This window comes from Homo sapiens, chromosome 18, assembly GCF_000001405.40.
Source record: "Homo sapiens chromosome 18, GRCh38.p14 Primary Assembly".
In the NCBI taxonomy this organism is placed as follows: Eukaryota; Metazoa; Chordata; class Mammalia; order Primates; family Hominidae; genus Homo; species Homo sapiens.
The window spans coordinates 14,106,682-14,132,695 of NC_000018.10; the positions used below are offsets into that span (position 1 = coordinate 14,106,682).

At 39.4% G+C, this 26,014-nt stretch overlaps 1 protein-coding gene across 2 annotated transcripts in view, besides 4 other annotated features; it reads right to left on the reverse strand.

Annotated features, from left to right (window-relative positions):
- The window catches only part of ZNF519 (zinc finger protein 519), a 61,315-nt gene extending 35,561 nt beyond the window's left edge, over positions 1–25,754 (reverse strand). The window contains exons 1-2 of one of the 2 annotated variants that reach the window (NM_145287.4): positions 25,594–25,754; positions 17,669–17,795 (exon numbers count right to left, since the gene is read on the reverse strand). In NM_145287.4, the coding sequence (NP_660330.2) occupies positions 17,669–17,795; positions 25,594–25,596 (130 nt within the window). In that variant the 5' untranslated portion in view covers positions 25,597–25,754. The remainder of the gene's footprint in view (positions 1–17,668; positions 17,796–25,593) is intronic. The other variant, NR_033354.2, reaches the window with a different exon arrangement.
- Positions 24,941–25,462: an enhancer, noted in NCBI's record as "NANOG-H3K27ac-H3K4me1 hESC enhancer chr18:14131621-14132142 (GRCh37/hg19 assembly coordinates)". NCBI's record gives its function as "activates a minimal SCP1, AML or CMV promoter by ChIP-STARR-seq in primed H9 embryonic stem cells {active_cell/tissue: H9 hESC(primed)}" and the evidence as "EXISTENCE:reporter gene assay evidence [ECO:0000049][PMID:30033119]".
- Positions 24,941–25,704: a biological region, named in NCBI's record as "NANOG-H3K27ac-H3K4me1 hESC enhancer GRCh37_chr18:14131621-14132142".
- Positions 25,365–25,704: an enhancer, noted in NCBI's record as "active region_13130". NCBI's record gives its function as "activates an Ori minimal core promoter by ATAC-STARR-seq in GM12878 lymphoblastoid cells {active_cell/tissue: GM12878}" and the evidence as "EXISTENCE:reporter gene assay evidence [ECO:0000049][PMID:35858748]".
- Positions 25,955–26,014: a silencer, noted in NCBI's record as "silent region_9339". NCBI's record gives its function as "represses an Ori minimal core promoter by ATAC-STARR-seq in GM12878 lymphoblastoid cells {active_cell/tissue: GM12878}" and the evidence as "EXISTENCE:reporter gene assay evidence [ECO:0000049][PMID:35858748]".

Consider the following 26,014-nt stretch of genomic DNA (forward strand, 5'->3'; position numbering starts at 1 on the left):
CTTGTACTACTCACTAAAAGAGGGTAGGAAAGACCGTCTTGAATCACTAATGCCACCCCTCACTCATGCCCTGGCAGCTGTCACATACTATGTAGATAGAAGCTGTACACTTGGGAGATAGAGAACACTGGGATTGTGAGCACTGAACTCAGTGCTGCCCTATCACAGCAGAAAGCAAAACTGGAATGCACTCAGCTGACGCCTGCCCACAGAGGGAGTATTTCAACTGGCCCTGGGCAGAGAGGAATCACCCTTCCCGGTGATTGGAACTTGAGTTCTGGCAAGCCTCATCGACATAGTCTAAAATGCTCTGGGCCCTAAAAAACTTGAAAGGCAGTTTAGGTCACAAGGACTGCAACTCCCAGGTGAGTCCTAGTGCTGAACTGGGCTTAGAGCCAGTGGACTTGGGGGCCACATTACCTACTGAGATACAAACTGGTGCAGCTAAGAGAGTGCTTACACCACCCCTCCTCCAAACTAAGGCTGCACGGTTCACAGATTCAAGAGACCAAGTCCATCTACTTAAGAAGACAGAAAAGAGTAAACAGGACTTTGTCTTGCATTTTGGATACCAGCAAGGCCACCAGTCAGAGTTGTGAAACCCCTTTTCAGCCACTAGCTCCTAGTTAAAATTTCTAGGTACATGCTGGGCCAGAAAGAAATCTGCTGCCTTGAATGAAAAATTTTGGCACTGACAAGACCCATCAACTGCTAAGTAAAGAGCCCTCGACCTGGAATAATCTGCAGTGATAACCAGGTAGTTTGCTATGAGCTTTCATTGGGACTCTGAGGCTTGCTAGAATCAGGTGAGACTCAGCACATTCACAACTGTGGTGGCTACAGGGAGTCACTGAAAAGGGTAGAGGAAAAACTATAGAGGATTTCATCTTGCCAACTTAGGTCCCAGCATGGCCAAAGGGAGGAAGAGCATCAAGTGGGCTCTTGGGGTCCCTTATTCCAGGCCTTGGCACTTGGATGGCACTTCTGGACCTGCGCTGAGACAAAAGGGACACCACTGACAAAAAGGGTGAGTACCAGGCCAAGCATCATTCACTACAAGTGAACTAAAGAGCCTTGAATCTTAAGGGAACATTGGTGGTAGCCTGGCGGTATTCCCCATGGGCCTGTGGTGATGGTAGCAATGGGATGAGGCTCTTCTGCCTGTGGAATAAGGACGGAAAAATGGGAAGAACTGAATCTTACGGTTTAATTGCTAGCTCTACCACAGTACAACAGAAAACGAAGTAGACTCCTAAGGTTATTGACTAGCCCCTGGCTCCTGGATGGCACCGATGGGCTTGCCGAGAGCCTGAGGGAACTCACTACTCTGAAGGAAAGGATACAACGCTGGCAAGCCCTTTGTAGGATACCACCTACAAATTATAAAGCCCCAGGACCTTGAGCAATTACTGGTGGTACCAGGTAGTGGTTACAGCTCACCTTGGGTGTGATCAACTGCTGTGCTGGTTTCAGGTCTGACCCACTGCAGTCCTACTGATAGTGACAGAAGACAAACTCCTAGGCAGGCAGGGATGGGTCCTTGGTGAAACTCGACCTTCGAGGAAAGGACAGTCTAAAGCCTGAAAACTGAGCTACCAGTTCCAGGAAGAATTCATGGACTGGAGTGAGAACTTCCATCCCTAACCCACTCTCTCTATTAGTTCTTTGAGAATGATTCCTTTTAATCAATTGAATGGTGCCTTTTCCAAGTCCACCCATGAACCAGTCAGCATGCATTCCCCCATTCTAAACCCATAAAAATCCTGGACTCAGCCTCACAGATGGCTACCCACTTTCAGGTCCCCTCTTGCTGTTGATAGCAAGACAAGAAAACAACAAAATGGAAGGAGTAAATCTTTATATAATCAATAACAACACTGAATGTAAATCGACTAAACTCTCCAATCAAAAGACATAGAGTGGCTAAATGGATAAAAAAAAAAAAGACTGATTTGTTGCCTACAAGAAACACACTTCACCTATAAACACATAGATTAAAAAGATTTAAAAAATTCCATGTGAATGAAAACAAACAGAAAAAGCAGTAGTAGCTATACTTATATCAGACAAAATAGATTTCAAGACAAAACTATAAGAAGAGACAAAGACGGTTATCTATATAATGAGGGCTGGGCACAGTGGCTCATGCTTGTAATCTCAGCACTTTGGGAGGCCGAGGTGGGTGGATCACCTGAGGTTGGGAGTTTGAGACCAGCCTGATTAACATGGAGAAACCCCATCTCTACTAAAAATACAAAACAACAACAACAACAAAATTATCCGGGCATGGTGGCACATGCCTGTAATCCCAGCTACTCAGGAGGCTGAGACAGGAGAATCACTTGAACCTGGGAGGCAGAGGTTGCAGGGAGCCCAGATTGCACCATTGTACTCCAGCCTGGGCAACAAGAGCGAAACTCAGAGAAACTCCGTCTCAAAAAAAAAAAAAAAAAATAATAATGAGGTTAATTCATCAAGAAGATATAAGAATGTTACATACATATGCACCTAACACTGGAGTACTCAGATATATTAAGCCAGTATTATTAGAGCTAAAGAGACAGGCCCCAATATAATAATACCTAGAGACTGCAACACCCCACTTTCAGCATTGAATAAATCTTCCAGACAGAAAAACCAACGAAGAAATATCAGGCCTAATCTGTGCTATAAACCAAATGGACATAATGGATATTTACAGAACATTTTATCGAATGGCTTCAGAATACACATTTTTCTCTGCAGTGCATGAATCATTCTCATTGATAGACCATATGTTAGGTCACAAAACAAGTCTTAAAACATTTTAAAAATTAAAATAATATCAAGCATCTTTTCTGACTACAATGAAAAAACCTAGAAATTAATAACCAGAAAAAGTTTTGAAATTATATAAATACATAGAATTTAAACAATATGCTCCTGAAAGGCCAATGGGTCAATGAGGAAATTAATAAATGAATTGAAATATTTCTGAAATATGTGATCATGGAAATACATGAAAACTTAGGATATACAGTAAAAGCAGTACTAAAAGTTTATAACTAAAAGTGTCTACATAAAAAACTCAAATAAACAACTTCATGACAGATTTACTGAAATTTCCATGAAAATACCATCAGTATTCTTCACAGAACTATAAAAAACAATCCTAAAATTAATGTGGATCAAAAAAGAGCCTACGTAGCCAAAGTAATACTAACCAAAACAAAATAAATAAAAAATCTGGAGGCATCACATTACCCTACTTCAAATTATACTACAAAGCTATAGCTACCAAAACAGCATGGTATTGCTATTAAAATAGACACATAGACCAATGAAGCATAATAGAGAATCCAGAAATTAAGCCAAATACAGGCAACTCATCTTAACTAATAATCAACAAGGCATACAAATAAACAAATTGAGGAAACAACACCCTATTCAATAAACGGTGCTAGGAAAACTGGCAAGCCACACATAGAAGAATAAAACTGGATCCCCCATCTCTGACCGTATACAAAAATCAATTCAAGATGGATCAAAGATTTAAATCTAAGGCCTGAAAGCATACAAATTCTAAAAGGTAACATATAAAAAAACTCTTCTGGACATTGACTTAGGCAAAAAATTCATGACTAAGACCCCAAAAGCAAATGCAACAAAAACAAACATAAACAAATGGGACCTTATTAAACTAAAAAGCTTCTGCACAGCAAAAGAAATAATCAGCAGAGTACATAGACAACCCACAGAGTAGCAGAAAATATTTGCAAACTACGCACAAAAAGCTAGTATCCAGAATCTATACAGAACTCAAATAAATTAGCCAAATAATAATAATTCCATCAAAAAGTAGGCAGAGAAAATGAATATATATTTGTCAAAAGAAGACATACGAACACCGAACAATAATCTAAAAATGCTCAACATCACTAATCAGAGAAATACAAATGAAAACCACAATTAGATACCAACTTACTCCTACAAAAATAGCCATAATTCAAAAGTCAAGAAAACAACAGATGTTGGCATGGTTGTGGTGAAATGGGAACACTTAACAAATAAAATGTCATTTGCAGCAACTTGGATGGAGCTGAAGGCTATTATTCTAAGTGAAGTAACTCAGAAATGGAAAACTAGATATTGTATATTCTTATAAGTGAGAGCTAATCTACGAGGATGCAAAGGCATAAGAGTAATGTAATAGACTTTGGGGACTTGAGGGGGAAGGCTGGGAGGCGGGTGAGGGATAAAAGCTACATATTAAGTACAGTGTACACTGCTCGGGTGACAGGTGCACTAAAATCTCAGAAATTACACTAAAGAACTTATCTGTGTCACGAAAAACCACCTGTATTTCCAAAACCATTGAAAAAACCTAATGATGTATCTAGCAAACAAAGCCAAAATTAGAAGAAAAGAAATAATAAAGATCAAAGCAGAAATAAATGAATTTGAAATAAATAAAATACAAAAGGTCAATAAAATGCAAAGTTGTTTTCTAAAAAAAAAAAAAAAAAAACCTTTAGCCAGACTAAGAAAAAAAAAGAAAACTCAGCCAGGCACAGTGGCTCATGCCTGTAATCCCGGCACTTTAGGAGGCTAAGGCAGGGGGATCACCTGAAGTCAGGAGTTTAAGACCAGCCTGTCCAACATGGCGAAACCCCGTCTCTACTAAAAAATATAAAAATTAGCTGGGCACGGTGGCAGGCACCTGTAATCCCACCTACTTGGGAGGCTGAGGCAGGTAGAATTGCTGGAAGTCAGGAGAAGGAGGTTGCAGTGAGCCAAGATCAAGCCACTGCACCCCAGCCTGGGCGACAGAGTGAGACTCCTACTCAAAAAAAAGAAAAAAAAAAAAAAAGAAAGAAAGAAAAGAAAAAAGAAAAAAAGACTCAAATAAATAATAACAAAGATGAAAAAGGAGACATTTCAACTCTACAACTTATACTGCAGGAATTCAAGATCATTAGTGGCTGCTATGAGCAGATAGATGCCATAAATTGGAAAATCTAGAACAAATGGATAAATTTCTAGACACATAGAACCTAACAAGATTGAACTGTTAAGAAATCCAGAACCTGAATAGACAAACAAGACATGTTGAGATCCATAATAAAAAACCTCCTATGAGAGAAAAGCCTGAAATCTGATGGCTTCACTGAATTCGACCAAACATGTATAAAACTAATAGCAATCTGACTTAAACTATTCCAAAACAGAGGAGGAGGAAACACTTCCAACCTTGTTCTGTAAGGCAAGCATTACTCTCATACTAAAACCAGACAAACGCCTATCAAAAAAATCTATAGGCCAATATCAGCAATAGATGCAAAATTTCTAATAAAAATACTGGCAAGTAAAATTCAGCAACATATTAAAAAGATTATTATAGATGTAAAATTTCTAATAAAAATACTGGCAAGTAAAATTCAGCAACAGATTAAAAAGATTATTATACCTCATGATCAAGTAGGATTTATCTCAGGGATGCAAAGATACTTCAACATATGCAAATCAATTAATGTAATACATCATATCAACAAAAGAAAGAACAAAAACCAAGATCATTTTGATCCTGAAAATCATTTGATAAAATTTAATATCCCCTCATGACAGAAACCCTCAAAACTATAGAAGAAACATACCTCAACATATAAAAAGCTATATATGACACTCACATTATATGATACTAAATGGGGAAAAATGAAAAGCTTTTCCTAAGATTGAGAACATGACAAGGATGCACACTTTCACCACTGTTATTTCAACATATGGCAGCTAGAGCAATTAGACAAGAGAAAAAAATAAAGGGCAACCAAATTGGAAAGGAAGAAGTCAAATTAGCTTTGCTTGCAGATGATGTGCTCTTATATTTGGAAAATCCTAATTCACTAAAACACTATTAGAACTCATAAATTTAGTCAAGATATAGGATTAAAAAGCTAGCAGCATTTTTATATACCAACAGTGAACAATGTGAAAAAGAAATGAAGAGAGTAATCCCATTTACGATAGCCACAAATTAAAATAAAATACCTAGGAATTAACCAAAGAAATTAAAGATCTGTACAATGAACACTATAAAACATTGATGCAAGAAATTTAAAAAGACAAAAAAGAAAATATATTTTTTGTTCATAAGAAAAATCAGTATTTTTAGTGTCTATACTACCCAATCCAATCTACAGACTTAATGCAACCCTATCAAAACATCAATGATATTCTTCACAGAAATAGGAAAAACAATCCTATAAAGTGGACAGAACCAAAAAAGACTCAGAAGAGCCAAAGGTCTTGCAAGAAAAAATTTTGCCTTTATGTGGCTGGCTTATTTTTCTTAACATATGACCTCCAGTTCCATCCATGTTGTTGCCAACAACAGGATCTTATTATTTATAAGTGAAAAGTACTCCTTTGTGTATATGTACATTGGCTTTATCCATTCATCTGTTTTTGATAGACACTTTGGTTACTTCCAAATCTTGGCTAATGTAAACAATGCTGTGTGAAAGGAAAATAAATCTTTGAACCCCCAAATCACTAAGCTAAAGGGACAAGTCAAGCTGGGAACCGCTTAGGGCAAATCTGCCTCCCATTCTATTCAGTCATCCCTCTGCTCACTGAGATAAATGCATACCTGATTGCCTCCTTTGGAAAGGCTAGTCAGAAACTCAAAAGAATGCAACCGTTTGTCTCCCACCTACCCATGACCTGGAAACTCCCTCCCTGCTTTGAGTTGTCCCACCTTTCCAGACTGAACCAACGTACAACTTACACATACTGAAGTCTCATGTCTCCCTAAAATGTATAAAACCAAGCTGTGCCCTGACCTCTTGAGGCTGTGTCATAGGTGTGCATCCTTCACTTTGGTAAAATAAACTACTTAAATTGGATGAGACCTGTCTCAGATATTTTGTGTTCACAGCTACAATAAAAATGGAGGTGCAAATCTCTCTCTGATGTCCTGATTTCCCTTGTGTACATACCTAGGATTGGGGTTGCTAGGTAGTATAGTAGCTCTATTTTTTTTTTTTTTTGAGGAACTCTAAACTGTTCTCCATAGTAGCTGTAATAATTTACATCCCCACCAAGAGAGTACTAGAGTTCCCTTTTCTCCACATACTCACCAGCATTTGTTATTGCCTGACTTTTGGAGAACAGCCATTGTAACTGGGATGAGATAACATCTCACTGTCATTTTGATTTGCATTTCTCTGATGACCACATGTTGAGCACCTTGTCACATGCACTGTTATTCGTATGCCCTCTTTAGAGAAATGTCTATTCACATTTTTTGCTCATTTTTAATCAGATTATTAAATTTTATCCTATAGAGTTGTTTGTGTGCCTTACATAATCTGGTTATCAATTTTTTTTCTGATGGGCCATTTGCAAATATTTTCTTCCATTTGGTATGTTGTCTCTTCACTTTGTTGATTGTTTCACTTGCTGTTTAAAAGTTCTTTAACTTGATGTGATTCCATTTGTCCATTTTTGCTTTGGTTGCCTGTGCCTGCAGGGTATTATTCAAGACATCTTTACCCCATTTAATTTCCTGGTGAGTTTCTACAATGTTTTCTTAATAGTACTTTCATAGTTTTGGGTCTTAGTTAAGTCTCTAATCCATTTTGATTTAACTTTTTAATACAGCAAGAGATAGGGGTCTAGTTTCATTCTTCTGAATATGGATATTTAGTTTCTGTAGCATAATTTAGACAATAAATTCCTTTCCTCAATATATATTCTTGAAACCTTTGTCGAAAATAGGTTTGCTATAGCTATATGGATTTATCTCTGCGTTCTCTCTACTGTTTCACTGATCAATACCATGCTGTTTTAATTACTATAGCTCTGTAGTATCATTTACAGTCAAATACTATGTTTCCTCCAGTTTCTTTTGCATGTTCTCACACATTTGCTGGAGCTAAAAATTAAATTAATTCAGTTCATGGAGGGAGAGAGCAGAATTGTTACCAGAGGCTGGAAAGTATAGTGGGGGGTTGGTGGGAAGTGGGGAAGGTTAATGAGCACAAAAATAATTAGAATAAGATTTAGTAGTTGCTAGTACAACAGAGTAACTATAGTCAAAAGCAATTTAATTGTATATTTTTAAATAACAAAAGGAACGTAATTAGATTGTAAACAAAGGATTAAATACTTGAAGTAATGAATACACCATTTACCCTGATGTGATTTTTATGCATTTCATGGCTACTTCAAAATATCTCATGTAACCCATAGATATATATAGCTACTACTATGTACTCACAAAAATTAAAAAATAAAATTTAAAAGTAAAAAATATATATAAATTTAAGTTGCAAAGCTTAAAAAAAGACCACTGGTCTTCATTTCTTCATAGATATATGCACTTAACACCACGTTGATCACATTGCCTTTGTGGGAATTCCAAAACACAGTTAAGAATTTGTACTACTTCAGTTGCTGTAGCTTTATCCATTCCAAAAGCATGTAGAAGAGAAGGAAAATTTTATTACATGTGCCCAGCACAGCTTTATCTTCTCCCAGTACAGCATGGTACAACCAGGAGAAACTCCCAACTCTATGTTTCTTCCTCAGGAGAGAAAGAAGTGTGGAGTATGTGTCCACATCTCTGGTTTCCGAGGGGCTATCCAAAGATGGGGTTTGGCTCCCCTGACAGAGTGCTGAAGGAAATGGTGGTATACTCTGGATGATGGCTATACATATTTTACATCAATATAAGAAGCAATCCTAAAAATTATATCAGAACTAAAGAGACCACAAGTGTTCAACAATTGTCAAAAAGAGAAATATTGGAGGCATACACCCTGATTTTAAAAACCTATTATAAAGTTATATTAATCAAAATAGTTTATAACCGGATTAAAAAGAGACAATACCAGTGAAACAGAACAGAGCACATCAATAATCCCTTGCATATATTATCAAATGAAGAGTAATCTGCACATCCATATTCACTGTAGTATTATTTACAGAAGCAAGTAAGTGGAAAGAACCAACTTAATAAATGAATAAAGACAATTTCAAATATACAAATAAATAATATTCAGGTTTTTAAAAGCAGAAAATGTTGTTATATTCACAATAAATACATTTTTTAAGACTTTATGTGCAAAAAGCCAGGCACAAAAAGACAAATACTATACAATTTTACTTATGTAAGATACCTAAAGTAGTTAAACTCCTAGAAACAGAAAACAGACTGAACTGTGTCAGGGGCTAAGTGGAGAAAATGGGTAGTTGTTGTTTCATGGACAACCTGTTAGGACACAAAGCAACTCTTATTCTTTTTAACTTTTAAGTTTGGGGTTATATGTACAGGTTTGTTATATAGGTAAACTTGTGTCATGTGGGTTTGTTGTACAGATTATTTTTTCACCAAGGTATTAAGCCTAGTACACACTAAAGATTGAATCATATAATGTATCCTTTCTTACCACATGGAATAAAACTAGAAATCAAAAGCAGAAGCAAAATTGCCAAATTGAAAAATCTGTGAAACTTAACAAACTCTTTAAGATACTCTTCTTTAAGTGTCAGGAGATTTAATATTGTTAAATGACAATAGTATCCCCAGTGATATTCAAATTCAATGTAGTCTCAATGAAAATCCAAAAGATATTTTTTGAAGAAATATATTTTTAAATTATTACATTTACACAGAATTTCAAAGGACCATTGATGGCCCAAACATTCTTAGAAAAAAAGAACAAAATTAGAGGCACCACACTTCCTGTTTTTAGAATAGATTACAAAGCTACATAAATAAAAACAGTGCGGTACTTGCAGGAAGACAGATGATGGAACAGAATGGAGAACTCAAAAACAAAGCATTGTGTATATGGTCAAATGATCTTCAACAAGGTTACTATAACAACATATTAAGGAAAAGATAGTCTCTTCAATAAATGGTGTTGGAAAACTCTATATCCACATGGGAAAAATTGAGGTTGGATCCTTCCCCTAAACCATACACAAAAACTGTCTTGAATGAGTTAAATATTTAAATGTAAGAATTATAACTCTACAATTTTTGGAGGAAAATATAGGGTGACTGGGTGTGGTGGCTCACACCTGTAATCCTAGCACTTTGGGAGCCCAAGGCAGGCAGATTACTTGAGGTCAGGAGTTCAAAACCAGCCTGACCAACAGGGTGAAACCCTGTCTCTACTAAAAATATTTTTAAAAATTAGCCAGGTGTGGTGGTACATGCCTGTAATCCCACCTACTCAGGAGGCTGAGGCAGGAGAATCGCTTGAACCCAGGAGGGGAAGGTTGCAGTGAACCAAGATCATGCCATTGCACTCCAGCATGGGCAACGAGAGCAAAACTCCATCTCAAAATAATAATAATATAGGGAGAAAGATTATGACATTGGTCTCAGCAATGTTTTCTTGCATATAACATCAAATACATGAGCAACAAATTTAAAAACACAGAAAAATGGGACTACATTAAATTTATCTCTGCACGCTAAACATTTAGTGAAGTAAGCAGAAGAAGAAAAAAAAATTGTATGTTTGACAGAAGTTAACACCCAGAATATATAAACTTTGAAAAATCAACAACAAAGAGTAAGTAACATGATTAACAAATGGACAAGAGATTAAAATGTTTCTCCAAAGATGAAATAATACACATAGCAATTACTGAAAACATTTCTAGTCTTTAGAAAAATGTAAAGCAAAACCACAATGAGATACTATTGTGCATTAATTAGGATGGCCAATATCAAGCAAACAAAAAATAACAAATGTTGTCAAGAGCATAGAGGAATTGAAACCCTTGTGCACTGCTGGTAGGGAAAAAGTGACTTCTGGGCATCTAATCAAAATATGCAGAGTATACTTGAAAGAAATATTTGCACATCCATGTTCATTGCAGCAATATTCACTGTATTCGTTTATTATTGCACTGCTATAAATACCTGAGACTGGGTATTTTAAAAAAAAGAGGTTTAATTGGCTCATGGTTATGCAGGCTGTACAGGAAGCATAGCAGCTTCTGCTTCTGTGTCGGCCTCAAAAAGCTTCCAATCACAGCAGAAAGCAAAGAGGGAGTGAGTCATCTCACATGGTGGGAGCAGGAGCAAGACAGAGTGAGGGTGGGGGTGCCACATGATTTTTAAAAATAAGATCTCAGGAGAACTTACTACAGCACAGACAGTACCAAAGGGAATGGTGTTAAACCATTCATGAGAAACCAACTCTATGATCCAATCACCTCCCACCAGGCCCCACCTCCAACATTAGAAACTGCAATCTTAGATGAGATTTAAATGGGAACCCAGATCCAAAATATATCATTTACAAAAGACAAAAAGTGAAAAAACGCAAATGTTCTTCAATGAATAGGTAATTTTTAAAGATGTGCCTTATATATACAATGAAATATTCTTTTTTTTGAGACAGAGTCTCGCTCTGTCGTCCAGGCTGGAGTGCAGTGGCATGGCCTCGGCTCACTGCAAGCTCTGCCTCCTGGGTTCATACCATTCTCCTGCCTCAGCCTCCTGAGTAGCTGGGACTACAGGTGCCCGCCACCACGCCCAGCTAATTTTTTTTATTTTTAATAGAGCCGGGGTTTCACCATGTTAGCCAGGATGGTCTCAATCTCCTGACCTCGTGATCCACCTGCCTCGGCCTACCAAAGTGCTGGGATTACAGGGGTGAGCCACTGCGCCTGGCCACAATGAATTATTCTTTAGCCTCAAATGAAAATATCTTGTCAGATGCTACAATAAGAATAAATCTTTAAGCCATTATTTTAAGTGAAATAAGACACTAATGAAGTGACAGTATATGATTCCACTTACATAAGACATCTTATGTCATAAACTTACAGAAACAGGCAGTAGAAAGATGACTGCCTATGGTTGGGGTTGTGAAACCTTTGTGGAGCCAAAGATCAAGGAGGGTCATTTGGAAAAAGCAGGCCCTCACCCAGGTGGCAAACTGAAGAGCCCATGGACATGGCTACAGACAAGGAAATGGCGCACCGAACTTGGTCTTACTGAGGATCCTGAAGCAGTTCTGCAACCTGTCTCAAACTCCTCTCAGCTATAGTTCAGAAATAGTCCTCCTATCAAGAGAGATGCAGGAAGACACACCCAGCCATGGCCCTAGAGGCAGGCCTGTAGATCTTGGCCTCAGCTGTGGTCCCGGAAGCAGCCCTGTAACTCAGTTCTAGCCCTCACAGCCACAGTCCATGGCCAGTTATAGGCACCCAGTTAGAGACCTGTGAAAACTGCTTCAAGGTAGCTAGTAGAAGACAAACCCATTCATACACCTGGTATATGGCTCATCATATGCAGACAAATTTCAAAACCCTACCCTAGTGCCTGCTGTATAGATTAATGTCCACAAGGAAATCTCTACCCTAGTGCCTGCCATATAGATTAATGTCCTAAAGGAAATCTAATCTTTCCAGGTCCCAAAAAGAATCCATGACTATCCTAATCTCTGGTAACAGGACCATCAAAGGCAGACCCCACAGTGACCCAGCAGCACCCTTGTGACCCAGCTTTACAACGCTTCTTCTCTGCAACCCCAGAGGTAACCTCATCAGCCTGGGAACCCAACAAAAGGAGATCTTTACCTGCCAAAAACAGTTTACAGAAACTGTAACCATTGTTAGATCCTTCAAATGTACAGAAACAGGGCTGCTTCAGGGACCACAGCTGAGGTCACGGTCTGTAGGTCTGCCTCCAGGGCCATGGGTAGTTATACTGTGCCACTATCAATGCTTCTACCTTAACATATTACTGAAAGTTTGTATCAGAACAATTAGGCAAGGAAAGAACAAGGCTCTCCCGTTTGGAAAAGAAGTAAAAATGTTACTGTTTGTAGATGATATGATCATACATATGTATATAAAACCTTAGAGTACAACAACAAAAACTGTTTGAACTAATAAATGCATTTATTAAAGTATCAGGATAATCAACATACAAATACTTCTGGGGTTTTTTGAGACAGGGTGTCACTCTGTTGCCCAGGCTCACCTCAAACTGCTGGGCTCAAATGATCCACCTGCCTCAGCCTCTGAAAGCACTGAGATTACAGAAATGCAGCACTGCACCAGGCTCAGCATACAAATATTTGTTGCATTTCCATACAGTAACAACAAACTTTCCACAAAAAAAGAAACAATTTTTATTTACAATTGTATAAAAGAAGTTTAATCAAAATAAATTTAACTGATGATATAAAAAATTTATACATTAAATACAGTAAGATATTGATGACAGACATTAAAGTAGACCCAAATAAATAGAAACATATTCCATTGGATAATTAATACTGTCAAAGTACCATATTATCCAAAGTAATCTACGGATTTAAAGTTTTAGTGGAATTTTCAACAGTAATAGAAAATAAAATTGTAAAATTTAAGTGTAACCTAAAACAACTTGAAATAACCTGAGCAATATTGAAAAAGAACAAAGCTGGGGGCATCATACTTTCTAATTTCAAACTTTATTTAAAGGTTATAGTAATGAAAAGAGTGTGGTATGTGCATAAAAACAGATACAAAAACCAATGGAACATAATAGAGAGCCCAGAAGCAATCCATGCATACAAGGTCAACTAATCTTTGACAAGAGCACCAAGAATATACAATGCAGAAAGTATAGTCTTGTCAATACACGGTGCCAGAAAAACTAGATATCCACAAGCAAAAGAATATAATTAGATTATTTTCTTTGACCATACCCTAAAATTAACTAAAAATAAAAGACTTACATGTAAGACATAAAACCTTAAAACTCCTGAAGAAAACATATTGGAAAACCTTGTTGATATTGGTCTTGGCAACAGCTTTTTGCATATAACACCAAAAGCATAACATTGAAAGAAAATATAAACAAGTGGGACTGCATCAAAGTAAACAGCTTCTGCACAGGAAAGGAAAAAAAAATTTTTTTAAACCTTACAGGACAGAAAAATATTTGCAAGCCATGTATAAGAAGTTAATATCCAAAATGTGTAAGAAACTTCTGCAATTCAAAGCAAAACAATGATGATGATAACCTATTCAAAAATAGACAAAAGATTATTTTTCCCCAAAGAAGACATACATACAAGGGAAATCCTGTATGTTGTCAGTGAGATGTAAATTGATACAGTCATCATAAAAACCAATAAAAATAAAAATAGAAGTATCATATAATCCAGTAATATCACTTCTAGGCATACTACTACCAAAGGAAATAAAATTAGCACCTTGAAGAAGTATCTTCAGCCCCCATGTTCGTTGTAGTATTGTTTACAACAGACAAAATATGGTGTGTGTGTGTGTACATACACACACACAGAGAAGAATACTATTCAGCCATAAGAGAAGGAAATCTAGCCATTTACAACATGGATACACCTGGAGGACATTATGCTAAATGAAATAAGGCAAACACAGAAAGACAAACTGTATGTTCTCAATTAGATGGGGAATCTAAAAATGTAAACTCATAGAAGCAGAGAGTAGAAGGGTGGTTGTTAGTGCCTGAGGGTGGGAATATGAGATGTTGTTCAAAGAATACAAATTTAGTTACAAATTGAGCAAGTCTGAGAAATCTAATGTACATTAGCATTAGATTAGCCAGATAGCATTGTTTATAGTAAGTAATACTGTAACATATGCTTAAAATTTGCCACAACAGTAGACCTTAAGTATACTTACTATAAAAAAAAAAGGTTATCCATGTAAGGTAATAGATGTGTTCATCAACTTGACTATATTTTATTTCACAACGTATACACATATCAAATCATTACATTGTACACATTAAATATATAGTTATACAATTTTTATTTATCTGAAAAATCCATGCCACACAAACACAGTCATAGAGTAAGTCCTCACTTAATGTTCAAAATAGGTTCTTGAAAACTGTGGGCTTTTTTTTAAATGAAACAACACTGCTATATGCCATTCAAATACCTTTCTTTTGTATCAGTTAAACTATGGTAAAATTCATTTTCTTAAACAATATGTTGCTTCACTTACAGTTACAGCTTCTAAGAACTATCAACATTAAGAACTGAGTATACACATATACGATTTATATAGGTATGTGTATGTGTATCACTTTACACATTTATACATATAGATATATCTCAATGACACAGTCCCAGCAGGCTCCCTACTAAATAAGACAAAATTATAAGATAATAGTTATTAAAAAATAAGATAATAGATGGCTTAATATTTGCTTAGCAATGTTCTAAGCTCATTAATGACACAGGGCATTTAAAAAATCTAGAAGGTGAGTAGATACTTTTAATCAGTGGTGTCCAACCAGCTCTTTGAATGAGAGGACTTTTTGCTTATCTGTGGTGACGAATATCATGAAAACTGCATGAACCTTTTTTCTTTTTAGCACATCAGCTATCATTAGTGTTCGTGTATTTTATGTGTGGCCCAAGACAATGTTTCTTCTTCCAATGTGACCCGGGGAAGCCAAAAGGTTGGACACTCATTCTTTGAACTATAATTTGAAAATCTGCACATATAGAGTTTAAATTACAAATCTCAATTTATTCTAAAGCAGTAACACTTTGAGGTAAAATAACATTACATTTTTTCATATTTAGAAAAATGCTTATTGTTCTGATAAAATTGCTGAGTAAGGATTTTTGTAGAATCACATTTGCAACCTCTACAGGATTAAAAATTATTAAGCGGAAAAGATGCAACATCTGTCCCTGGTGTTGCTGGGATTTCTGAACCAAATCCCAGTATGTCCCCTACTCACCTTACACATTTTAGACATGATGCAAAAAGAATATCTGAAAAAGATACTTTAACATAGAACTCCTCAAAAATACAAATATTCCTATGTATCCAAAACCAATGGAAAAGCAGACAGATCATGCAGCCCTTTATAAGTGATAAAGGGGACATTGGGTCTCACTGTAAACTTGAAGGGAGATCACTAAAGAAAAAAAAAAATTCTTAGAAAATTTAAGAGCATGAGACAGAAGATGTCCCTATCTGTGAATATGAAAACAAAACAAAACAAAAAACACAACCTTTTCAGAAATTATTTTCATTGGAGCAAAGATTCCCAAACTACATTTTTTTTTCTTTTTGAAAATTCACATTTCCAAGTGATTTTTTTTTTATTATACTTTAAGTTCTAGGGTGCATGTGCACAACATGCAGGTTTGTTACATACGTATACATGTGCCATGTTGGTGTGCTGCACCCATTAACTCATCATTTACATTAGGTATATCTCCTAATGTTATCCCTCCCCCCTCCCCCCACCCCACGACAGGCCCCGGTGTGTGATGTTCCCCTTCCTGTGTCCATGTGTTCTCATTGTTCAATTCCCACCTATGAGTGAGAACATGTGGTGCCTAAACTACATTTTAAGGCCTGGCTTCCTTCTTGACCTTTGGTCCCCTTGCCTGTGTCATCTCCTTCATTCACCCTCACTTACTTGGGGGTTTGGCTACTGTCTCATCTATCTTCAAATTGTAAGGCTCTTTTCTTTGCTCCAGACAGGTGACCAGGTCTGGTTAGAGATAGCAACACTTGTTTTATTAAAAAAAAAAAAAAAAAAAATCAACATGACTGTTGCTGGGGATTCTCCAATTACCAACCTAGTACTATGCTAAGCAGAAAAGAGAAATTACAAATGATTCTAGAAAATTAATCCAAAACTTGTTTCCTGACAGAATCTTTAGAATATTTAAGTATTTTAAATCTGCGGGTTCTAAGTTCCACTACCCAGTACTATCGAATCAAAAATAACTGGTACAGGGCCAGGAATGGTGGCTCACGCCTGTAATCTCAATACTTTGAGAGGCCGAGGCAGGAGGACTGCCTGAGCTCAGGAGTTCAAGATCAGCCTGGGCAACATGGCAAAACCCTGTCTCTACTAAAATACAAAAAATTAGCCAGGCGTGGTGGTGCATGTCTGTAGTCTCAGCTACCCGGGAGGCTGAGGCAGAAGTGCTTGAACCCAGAAGGCAGAGGTTGCAGTGAACCAAGACTGTGCCACTGCACTCCAGCTTGGGTGACAAAGCAAGACTCCGTTTGCAAAATACATAAATAAATAAATAAGTGGTACAAAATGAATGTAAAGGTGTGGGAAACAATATTTTATGTCATTCAATTTCTAAAACTACCACTAATCTAGAGTAAAGGAAACAAATTAGCTCAAAAAAAGAGAAGGTTTATGTAAAGATGAATCATCATAAAGATTTTCTTTTTGGCTGGGCATGGTGGCTTACACCTGTAATCCTAGCACTTTGGGAGGCCCAGGCGGGTGGATCACCTGAGGTCAGGAGTTCGAGACCAGCCTGGCCAACATGGTGAAACCTTGTCTCTACTAAAAATACAAAAAATTAGCCAGACGTGGTGGTGGGCGCCTGTAATCCCAGCTATTCGGGAGGTTGAGGCAGGAGAATCACTTGAACCCAGGAGGTGGAGGTTGCAGTGAGCCAAGATCGCGCCATTGCACTCCAGCCTGGGTAACAAGAGCGAAACTCTGTCTCAATTAAAAAAAAAAAAAAAAGATTTTCTTTTTTACACTAGCAAACTCCCATTTTTTCTTGAAGAAAAGAACTGAAATTAATTCATGCAAAGCAGAAGCTCTCAAGAGACAGTCTACAAAGAAAGAAAATAAAACTCTGAGGGAGAATTAGGAATTATGTATTGAAGTTATTCTCACCCAGGGAGACGAGGTTTCTGTAGTTCTCCAACATCACATCTCTATATAAATTCTGTTGGGCAGGGTCTAGGCATTTCCACTCTTCTGGAGAGAATTCTATGGCCACATCCCTGAATGTTAAGAGTTCCTGGAAACACATATATCAAGTGACAGAGCTCTTAATTTGACTAGAGATGAAATGAGTTAAAATAACTAGTTCTGACTTATGTGGCTGACTAGGATTATCTGATAAAATAACTTTTAACACAGTAATGTTCTCTAAAGCATTCTATAACTCTGAGGGAAAAGGATGCCAGCAAGCAATTTCTGCTGCTGCAATGGAAATATGAGCTGCACTGACCTACCCCTACCAAAACCAAGCAGAGCAGGCCCTGTGACCTCCTTCTGGAACAACGGGTGAACTCACCTCTCATTAAAGTATCTGGAAGCCCTCATGTTTGACCCTGGCCTCACTGCAGAATCATGCGAGGAACTTAATTTAAAAAACAGGGATGTTTTCACCTAGAACAATAGACAGGATCTCTGGGGAGGGCACAGGTGATGGTCTCTCTTCAAACTCTCCATGTGATCCTATTGAAAGACTGCACTGAGAGGCACTTAACTAAGCACTGCCTCTCAAGCTTCAATGTGCATATAAATTATTTGGTATTCTAGGCCTCACTGTTACAAAATTTTGCAGGTTTAAAAAGGGTCCATGAATTAGCTTCTTATAACAAGTCTCCTGTTAATGCTGATATTCCTCCTCGTAGACTCATTATAGTACCACTCAGCTAGAGAAAGCAGGCACACACAGAATCCCTTATCCCAACACCCTTATCACAACACACATATCCTTCATCCAAAGAAAAGACCACCAATCATCAGCCTGAAACTTGGCATTCTCTGCAGGCCCTTTTACATAGTTTACAAAGGCAGGAGATAATGGCAATGTCTGAATAAGTCTGCAGTTGAAAAACATGTGCACAAGCATTAATGCAATGTTTATGGAGCATGTACTATGTGCCCAAGAGTATGTCACAGAGCACTGTGCTGGGAAGCTCACATTATGTGTTAATTCTCATAACAGGTTTCTGTAGAGGTGGGTACTAATTGTCCCACACTTCCCAGGATTTAAATGCAGGGCCTGCCATTTCTATTTCTTCTGTTTTCCTATCATTGATTTTAAAAATAAAATGTATAGAATAATAGCTCATTTTAGACAGATGGAGAGATACGGAAAGGAACTGTTAACTGCAATTCAGTGTTTGTATTTACTTTGAGACTTGTGAAGAAATCATTGAAACTGCAGGAATGGAGAACAGGTTGCTGGATGGGATGTCTCTAGAAACACTGGTTTTAATTTTTTTTTTTTTAAGACTGAGTTTCGCTCTTATTGCCCAGGCTGGAGTGCAATGGTGCGATCTTGGCTCACTGCAACCTCCGCCTCCCAGGTCCAAGCAATTCTCCTGCCTCAACCTCCCAAATAGCTGGGATTACGGGTGCCCACCACCGCACCCAGCTAATTTTTAGTATTTTTAGTACAGCCGGGGTTTCATCATGTTGGCCAGGCTGGTCTTGCACTCCTGACCTCAAGTGATCTGCCCGCCTTGGCCTCCCAAAGTGCTGGGATTACAGGCATGAGCCACCGCACCCGGCCTAATTTTTTAAAAAAGAATTTAAGGCCCCAAAGTATATAGTTTTTCCCCTTTTATCTCCTTTTGGGTTTCAGGAAATTGTGAGCACCAGCTGTGGAGAGGCAGTAGGGGTAGTCACTCCAAACTCTGATCTCCTCTAGGCAGTTCTGTGAGAGATTTCAGTGTGGGATCAGACCTGGAGAAAGTTTAGCAGCAGAGGGTGGATCTGCGCAGGGTTGGGACAGATCTCCATGCTGCTAAGAACTTTCAGTTTTATCTTTTCTAAGCCTGACCAAGAGAAATCTGATTTTCAGAGTTTGTGCAATTTTAACCTATTTTAGCCACTTCCCTATTTTGTAACATACGATAAGAAGGAATTTAACCAAAACCCTTACGTTTTCCTAGAGCAATTATATTAGAAGGTAAATATTTATTCTTAGCAAGGTAAAAATAATACAAATAATAACTTCTCTTCTGTCCATGAATAGACCTTCAGTTGGTGGCATCAAAACTCAAAACAAGGGATGTGACCCAAATGAAGCTTAAGTCTCCTCTACACCTTCCGTCTTTGTGCTTAACACACGATGCTGAATTCAACTACTTATTCATGTGCTCTAGATTGCAAGCTCCTTCATGGTAGGGACCATGACTGCTTCATCTCTTTTTCTAATGACATACGAAATAGAAGCAGGTAGCTTATTGACCAGTTTGAGTCTCCAGATCTCCTCATTTTTCACCAAAGAACCAGAAAACTGAAGCAACTCCCATCTGGGTACAAATCAAGGAAATTATTTCTGTGAGGGGAGGAACAAACCCTGGCTGAACCATTTCTCTTCCTCTAAAATGGGGGCAGAATTAAACCTTGTAGTCAGACTGACCCCAATTTGCACAGGACATCCTCAAATGTCTCCAAAATTCACAGGTGCTGGTGAGAGCGTCCCCAGTGACTATGGGCTGACGCCTCCATAATGATCCTGAGACAGGAGACACTCAGGCTTTGTGGGGTGCAAATATTATAGAAAATGGTTCTGCCCTGGTGGAGCAACAGATCCCGAATCTAGCTGTAATATCCCCTGTCCCTGTCCAGCTAAGTCTGAGGTAAGGGGAAGAACAAAAATACTCTACTCCACTAACAGTTTACAGGGAGGCACAGTTGTGATTATGGCTCTGGTTATTTTGTAGCTCTGACCTCCCACTGCTAAGGTGCTTGTTTAACTTACAGGATTCTGTTGACACCAGAAGCCTCTCACAGAGCTGCAGCAGGTCACTGGACAAGATCTGGAAAACTCAAAGGGCTCCACTCTGAAACTGATGCTTAAGATGTCTATGTTGACCTCTCATGATGCAGAAAATGTCTTCTGTGAGTTTTCTGTATGTCTTCAACCCAAAGTCTGGCCCTGTCTTGTGAATCCTAGGCAGAGGCCAGCTTTTATGTGCAGATTCTAGGTGGGATCAATGTGCCTCTGCATTCTTGGGGGTTACAGCAAGCAGAGTAAAACCAGAGGAAAGATCCTCTCATGGAGGCTCCTTCAACACCTTTTCTTCTCTCAAATCCCAGGACATAAATTCAAAATCTGGAGCTGCACATTTAGGTCTTGAAGGGCTGATGAGTGGTGGCCCATGTGTGGGCATTTGGGCAAGGGGAGGTGGGAGGGAGTTGAAGTTTTCAGGTTTAATTAATGCACATGTGTGATCCTAATTGGGTTTATGGGCCCCATGATCTCTGAATCAGTGTCAGATGTGAAGATGCCAGGAGCACTAATGGAGGTGGACTACTTGACTGCTGTCCTGAAAAGTTATTTTTGTAAAAATCTACTCTACCTGCTCTAGAAGGGACTGTAGATTCCAAAGAGAGACCATTCTGTTTGAAGATTTGGGGGGCACTTTGCTGCACAATTGTGGGTTGTGATTGGAATCCTGAGAAAGAAAGTTCCCTCTAAAGTGAAGCCTGGTGGGCACCTTGTGTATAACATCTAGTAATGCTGGACAGTGTGGAAAACATAACTGAAAGCAAACCCATTTCCGACCCTAAAAAACTCTCCACCAGCCGGGCGCGGTGGCTTACGCCTGTAATCCCAGCACTCTGGGAGGCCGAGACGGGCGGATCACGAGGTCAGGAGATCGAGACCATCCTGGCGAACACGGTGAAACCCCGTCTCTACTAAAAATACAAAAAAAAAATTAGCCGGGTGTGGTGGTGGGCGCCTGTAGTCCCAGCTACTCGGGAGGCTGAGCCAGGAGAATGGCATGAACCTGGGAGGCAGAGCTTGCAGTGCGCCGAGATCGCACCACTGCACTCCAGCCTGGGCGACAGAGCGAGACTCTCTCTCAAAACAAACAAACAAACAAACTCTCCACCATAACAGAACAGCAAGAAAACTGTTTTGTTATATAATTAAACTAAAATGTGATGTGCATCACAGGCAATATACTAAGAGATTGCAAACAGAGAAAGGTCAACATAATTAGTATTCAACTGTACCATTTGTCATACACAGCTTATTATAATTTGGGCTGTCATCTGGGTTTTCTAATTGGTAATATTTAAAGGAAAAATAAACTTCCCTCATCTTCATGACAGGAGGTAGTGTTGCAATGTGGAGTTAGACACCTGCTGAAGGCAGCCTTCTACTCTCCTACAGAAACTGTGGGAAAGGGTGTATAAACTTGCTAATTACATTTCAAAGCAATAGTTCCCAGGTCCTAGATTAAGACAATTCTGAGTCAAACACACACACACACACACACACACACACACACACAAAACCAAATGACCTATTTAACTGATAAAAATGATTTACATATATTTCAAAGAAGTAGAGAAAGGTTTTCAAACTAAATGCTTTAAGAAAAGAAGAGCAAAAATTCTTCCCTCATTTTAAAGAGAAAGCATTAAGCCTTTTCTTTCTAATTTGTATTTGCTCCTACAACAGCCGGGTCTAAAGGCTTGGTCTTGAACTCATTAACATCTGACTTCTAGTAGGCACTGGATTCAGGCACTGGAGGGATGGCCTTGGGCACACTGTGTACACATGAAAGAGGATTTGTGGGGAAGAAAAAAGCAGAAAAGAGAAAGATGCTATCAAGAACTATGGGTGGGGATGCAGGGCAGAATTGGTTAAGGAACTGGTTTGTGCTACAGATACAGGCTCAGGCAGCGCTATGTTCTGACTTATTCCTGTGTTCATACAATCAGAAGAGATTATGATCAGGTAGTCCAAGAAACCTGGGTTGGTGAAAAAAACAGGTTCCCGATAGAGATTCAGTGTCTACAGTTGAGATAAGCCAGGAGTCTTCTAGGCACCTGTGTATGTTCTTGGCAGAAAACTCTAGGAGGAAAGCTGTTGTGAGCACAATTCCTGAGGGTAAAACTTTGTCGTGGGAGGAGTGTAGCCAGATCAATTTTTAGTGGGTATGTTCAGGAGTGGGTTAGAAGCATGTAGGGGCTGGCAGCAGGGTCAGGGGAGGGAATAGGTTCTCAGAGCTCCTTCACTCTAAGCTCTCGTTCCATCTCACAGTAGGAGGAGACCTGGAATTACAGGACAACGCACAGGGTGACGACAAGCCTGTGTGCAGAACAAAGCCTCACTTCCCTCAGACACCTGGAGTCTCCTTATAGACCAGGCCCCAGTGATGTCTTTCTTCTGACACAAAACGTAAGGAGTTTGCTGAACACCAACCAATTATCCAACACCAACTAGCTGTCCAACACCTCAATTCCAACACCGCCCAGAGTCAGCATAGATCCCACAAGTTCAGGCTAAGTCCCATAACACTGTCCTCACTGCCGATGCCAGTCACATGCCTCCGGATACCCATCTTTATTTCTCAACTACTTCCTACAAATCAAGGGCTTCCACATTCCCCTCCTCAAGCTCAATAATTTGATAGAACTATTCACAGAACTCAGCAAAGCACTGTACTTACATATACCAGTTTATTATTGAAGATACAGCTCAGGAACAGCCACATGGAAGAGATGCATAGGGCAAGAAAAAGTGGTGGTGAAAGCTGGGGCAGGTAGGTAATTCTGCTAAATAGCTGTGACAAAAAATTCCTCATGCTTTTTGTTCTCCGAAATCAGCTTAACGAAAAGAGACACCCTTCCCATTGTGACTTCAATAATACTCTCTCTTCTTTTTTTCTAAACCTATCACAGAGTCAGACATGGACCACACATTTCCATTTTTTTCTCATATACAATTGGCTGAACAATTTCATCTCCGATGGTCAAAAAAAAAAAAAAGCCTATTTGTTCAGATCCCTGAACTTTGACCTATTCTCAGCCTGATTCAACATTCAATCTCTCTTTATTAACCTCCTAAGAAAAAGCTGACTTCAGGGTTGAACGCTCTCTGATTTAGAATCTGATTTTGCCACACTTCATTCTGCCCACCCTCTCTCACCTTCCTTCTAATCTTATTTGCTCTTTCCAACTTTTTTTAAAAGCCCTTTTCTGCCTATCCTTTGAGATCCAATTTACAGTTAATTAAAAAAACCGAAGTTGAAATAAGTGAGCAAATCTATACAGGGGGACAAACTCAGGGAGTGGCAGTGCTTTCTGGAACAGGGACATATGACTCAAGTGTCAAATCAGGCCACCTTATCCCTTGGGACTTTCTATCACCCCCATACTCCTCACTGAAGTGCTCAATGCCCACCCTCCCAGGAGACACTGCACTGTGCCCCACTGTGCTTTTTGCTTTGCAGGTTCTTGCACTGCCTCCCTGGGGTGGGTTTTTCTTGTCCTTCAGGTTAGTTTCTCTCCCTTCGCAAATATAAGACAATTCAGAAGACAGGAATAGTCTATCTTTTTCTCTGAATACCAGCATCTGATTGGCTGACAAGCAATGTGTTTCCATGGAATGAAAACTGGGGTTGGGGGAAAAAAAAAAAAAATCTTAAAAATCCCAAGGGATTCTTTTTTTACAGGAAGGGTAAGCCTGGATATTTCTCTCACCCCCAGGGCATTCAGCTGCTCCTTTGAGAAGCTGCACTCCCATCCCTCAGTGTGTCCTCTGGAAGATTACCAAAGGGCTGCTATTCACCAGAACTCCCAAAATACATGGCTCTGGTTTGTATCTTGGGCCATCTCAAGACAGTTCTAAAACTCAGGACTAGAAAAAGGCCCGAATGTGGCTAAGGAAACATTGCCCCATAAAGTTTCCCAACGAAAACCTCAATCCCAAGATGGCCTAATAAGGGCGTTTGTGCTAAGGGAGGATACAAGGAGAAACAGCAGAAAGATTTTTTACAGTTGAGTGCCAGGGGATTATTTTCTGCTTTTTTCTCATGTGAAATATTTGTAAGTAGAAAATAAGTATTTTACAAATTGCCATCCACTGCTCTGTGAAAAAGTGATTAATTCAAATACTGTTTCTGAAATGTGCAATAAAGGACAAAAACAGTTGATAATGTATGGGAGCGTAGAAGTTGGCTTTGGGGAATGTCAGCAAGAAACCGGAAATTTAAGATTTTACTTCAAGCCAGGTTAGGCTGGCAGAACAGAGTAGTGGATGTGAGACCCTGCTTGCCACACATTTGGAAAATGCAGGCGAAAACCAGTGTCTTTGATTAAAGTTAAAATAATTACATAGCAGTCATTTAGACTGAAGTGGCTCTAGTGGTCTAGGCCTCTATGTAAAAAAAGAAATCTAACTCAAATGCATTTTTTTCTAAGTTACTACCTTAGGAGGAAACGAAATTCAAGCTTAAACAACTACAAACCTCCAATTAATCCCTGATTACATAACCAGGAAATTTCCACCCAGACACTCCAAATAAAGCGACTACATAACTGTACCCAATTATTTAATTGTCTTTGCTTCCTCACACACCTTATACAAGCCTTTCTTTCAAGACCTTCTAGTAGCCCCCCAACCACAAACCATTGCTGAGCGCTGTCCCATTAATTAATCACTGTTTACTCATATAAGCTGTCTATGTTTTAATGGCGCCTCAGTCTAATTCCGAACAGGGTAAGGTAGGGACGGGGGACCCCACGGACCACAGCTCCTTCCACGCAGGAACCCTGCACACCGAGTCGGCGTCTTTCCGATGACTTTCGCCTCATCACCTCACAACCTGGGGAAGATGCAGGGCTGCGGGCGCAGAGCTGCGCAAAGAGGGCTACAGGCTGGGGCCAAAGCCGCCGTGCAGGGACAGGACAGGACGCCCGGAGTCCCTGCACCGGAGGGGACTGAGGGCTGAGCTGCAGACTCGACTCGCAGACTAGGTCCCGTCACCGCCATGTCCAGCCGGTTCCAAGGAGCCCCCTCCCCAGTCTCGGTACGCCCTGCCCCCCACACTCACCATTTCTCGGCTTCAGGGGTGTCCTGGAGTCTTAGCTATAAATCATTCAATGCCAGCAGGTCACAGAGCGACGGAGTGAGTGGCAGAATCACCGAAGTCTCCCGGAGCAGAGGACACAAGGCAATGAAGCCCTAACCCCGCGCTCTGGCTGAAGTGAGACAAAGGCCGCGCCAGATTCCGGAAGCCGCCCCTTCCTCCCTGGCTGCGCGCCTGATTGGACAGTTCCCACCCCAGAGCCCTGATTGGATAGTAGTGCAGGCACCGCGACCTCAGGCCTTGCGTGTCAGAAGATGCTACCATACACTGCACGGAATGAGCCGAGAGTGACAGGCTCTTGGCTCCAGTCACTTTCAGGCAGGGCTTTCTGTCTGTGCTGCGCCTGGCTCTGCCCAGGGGTCATTTTTTTAGCATTGTGGTGTAT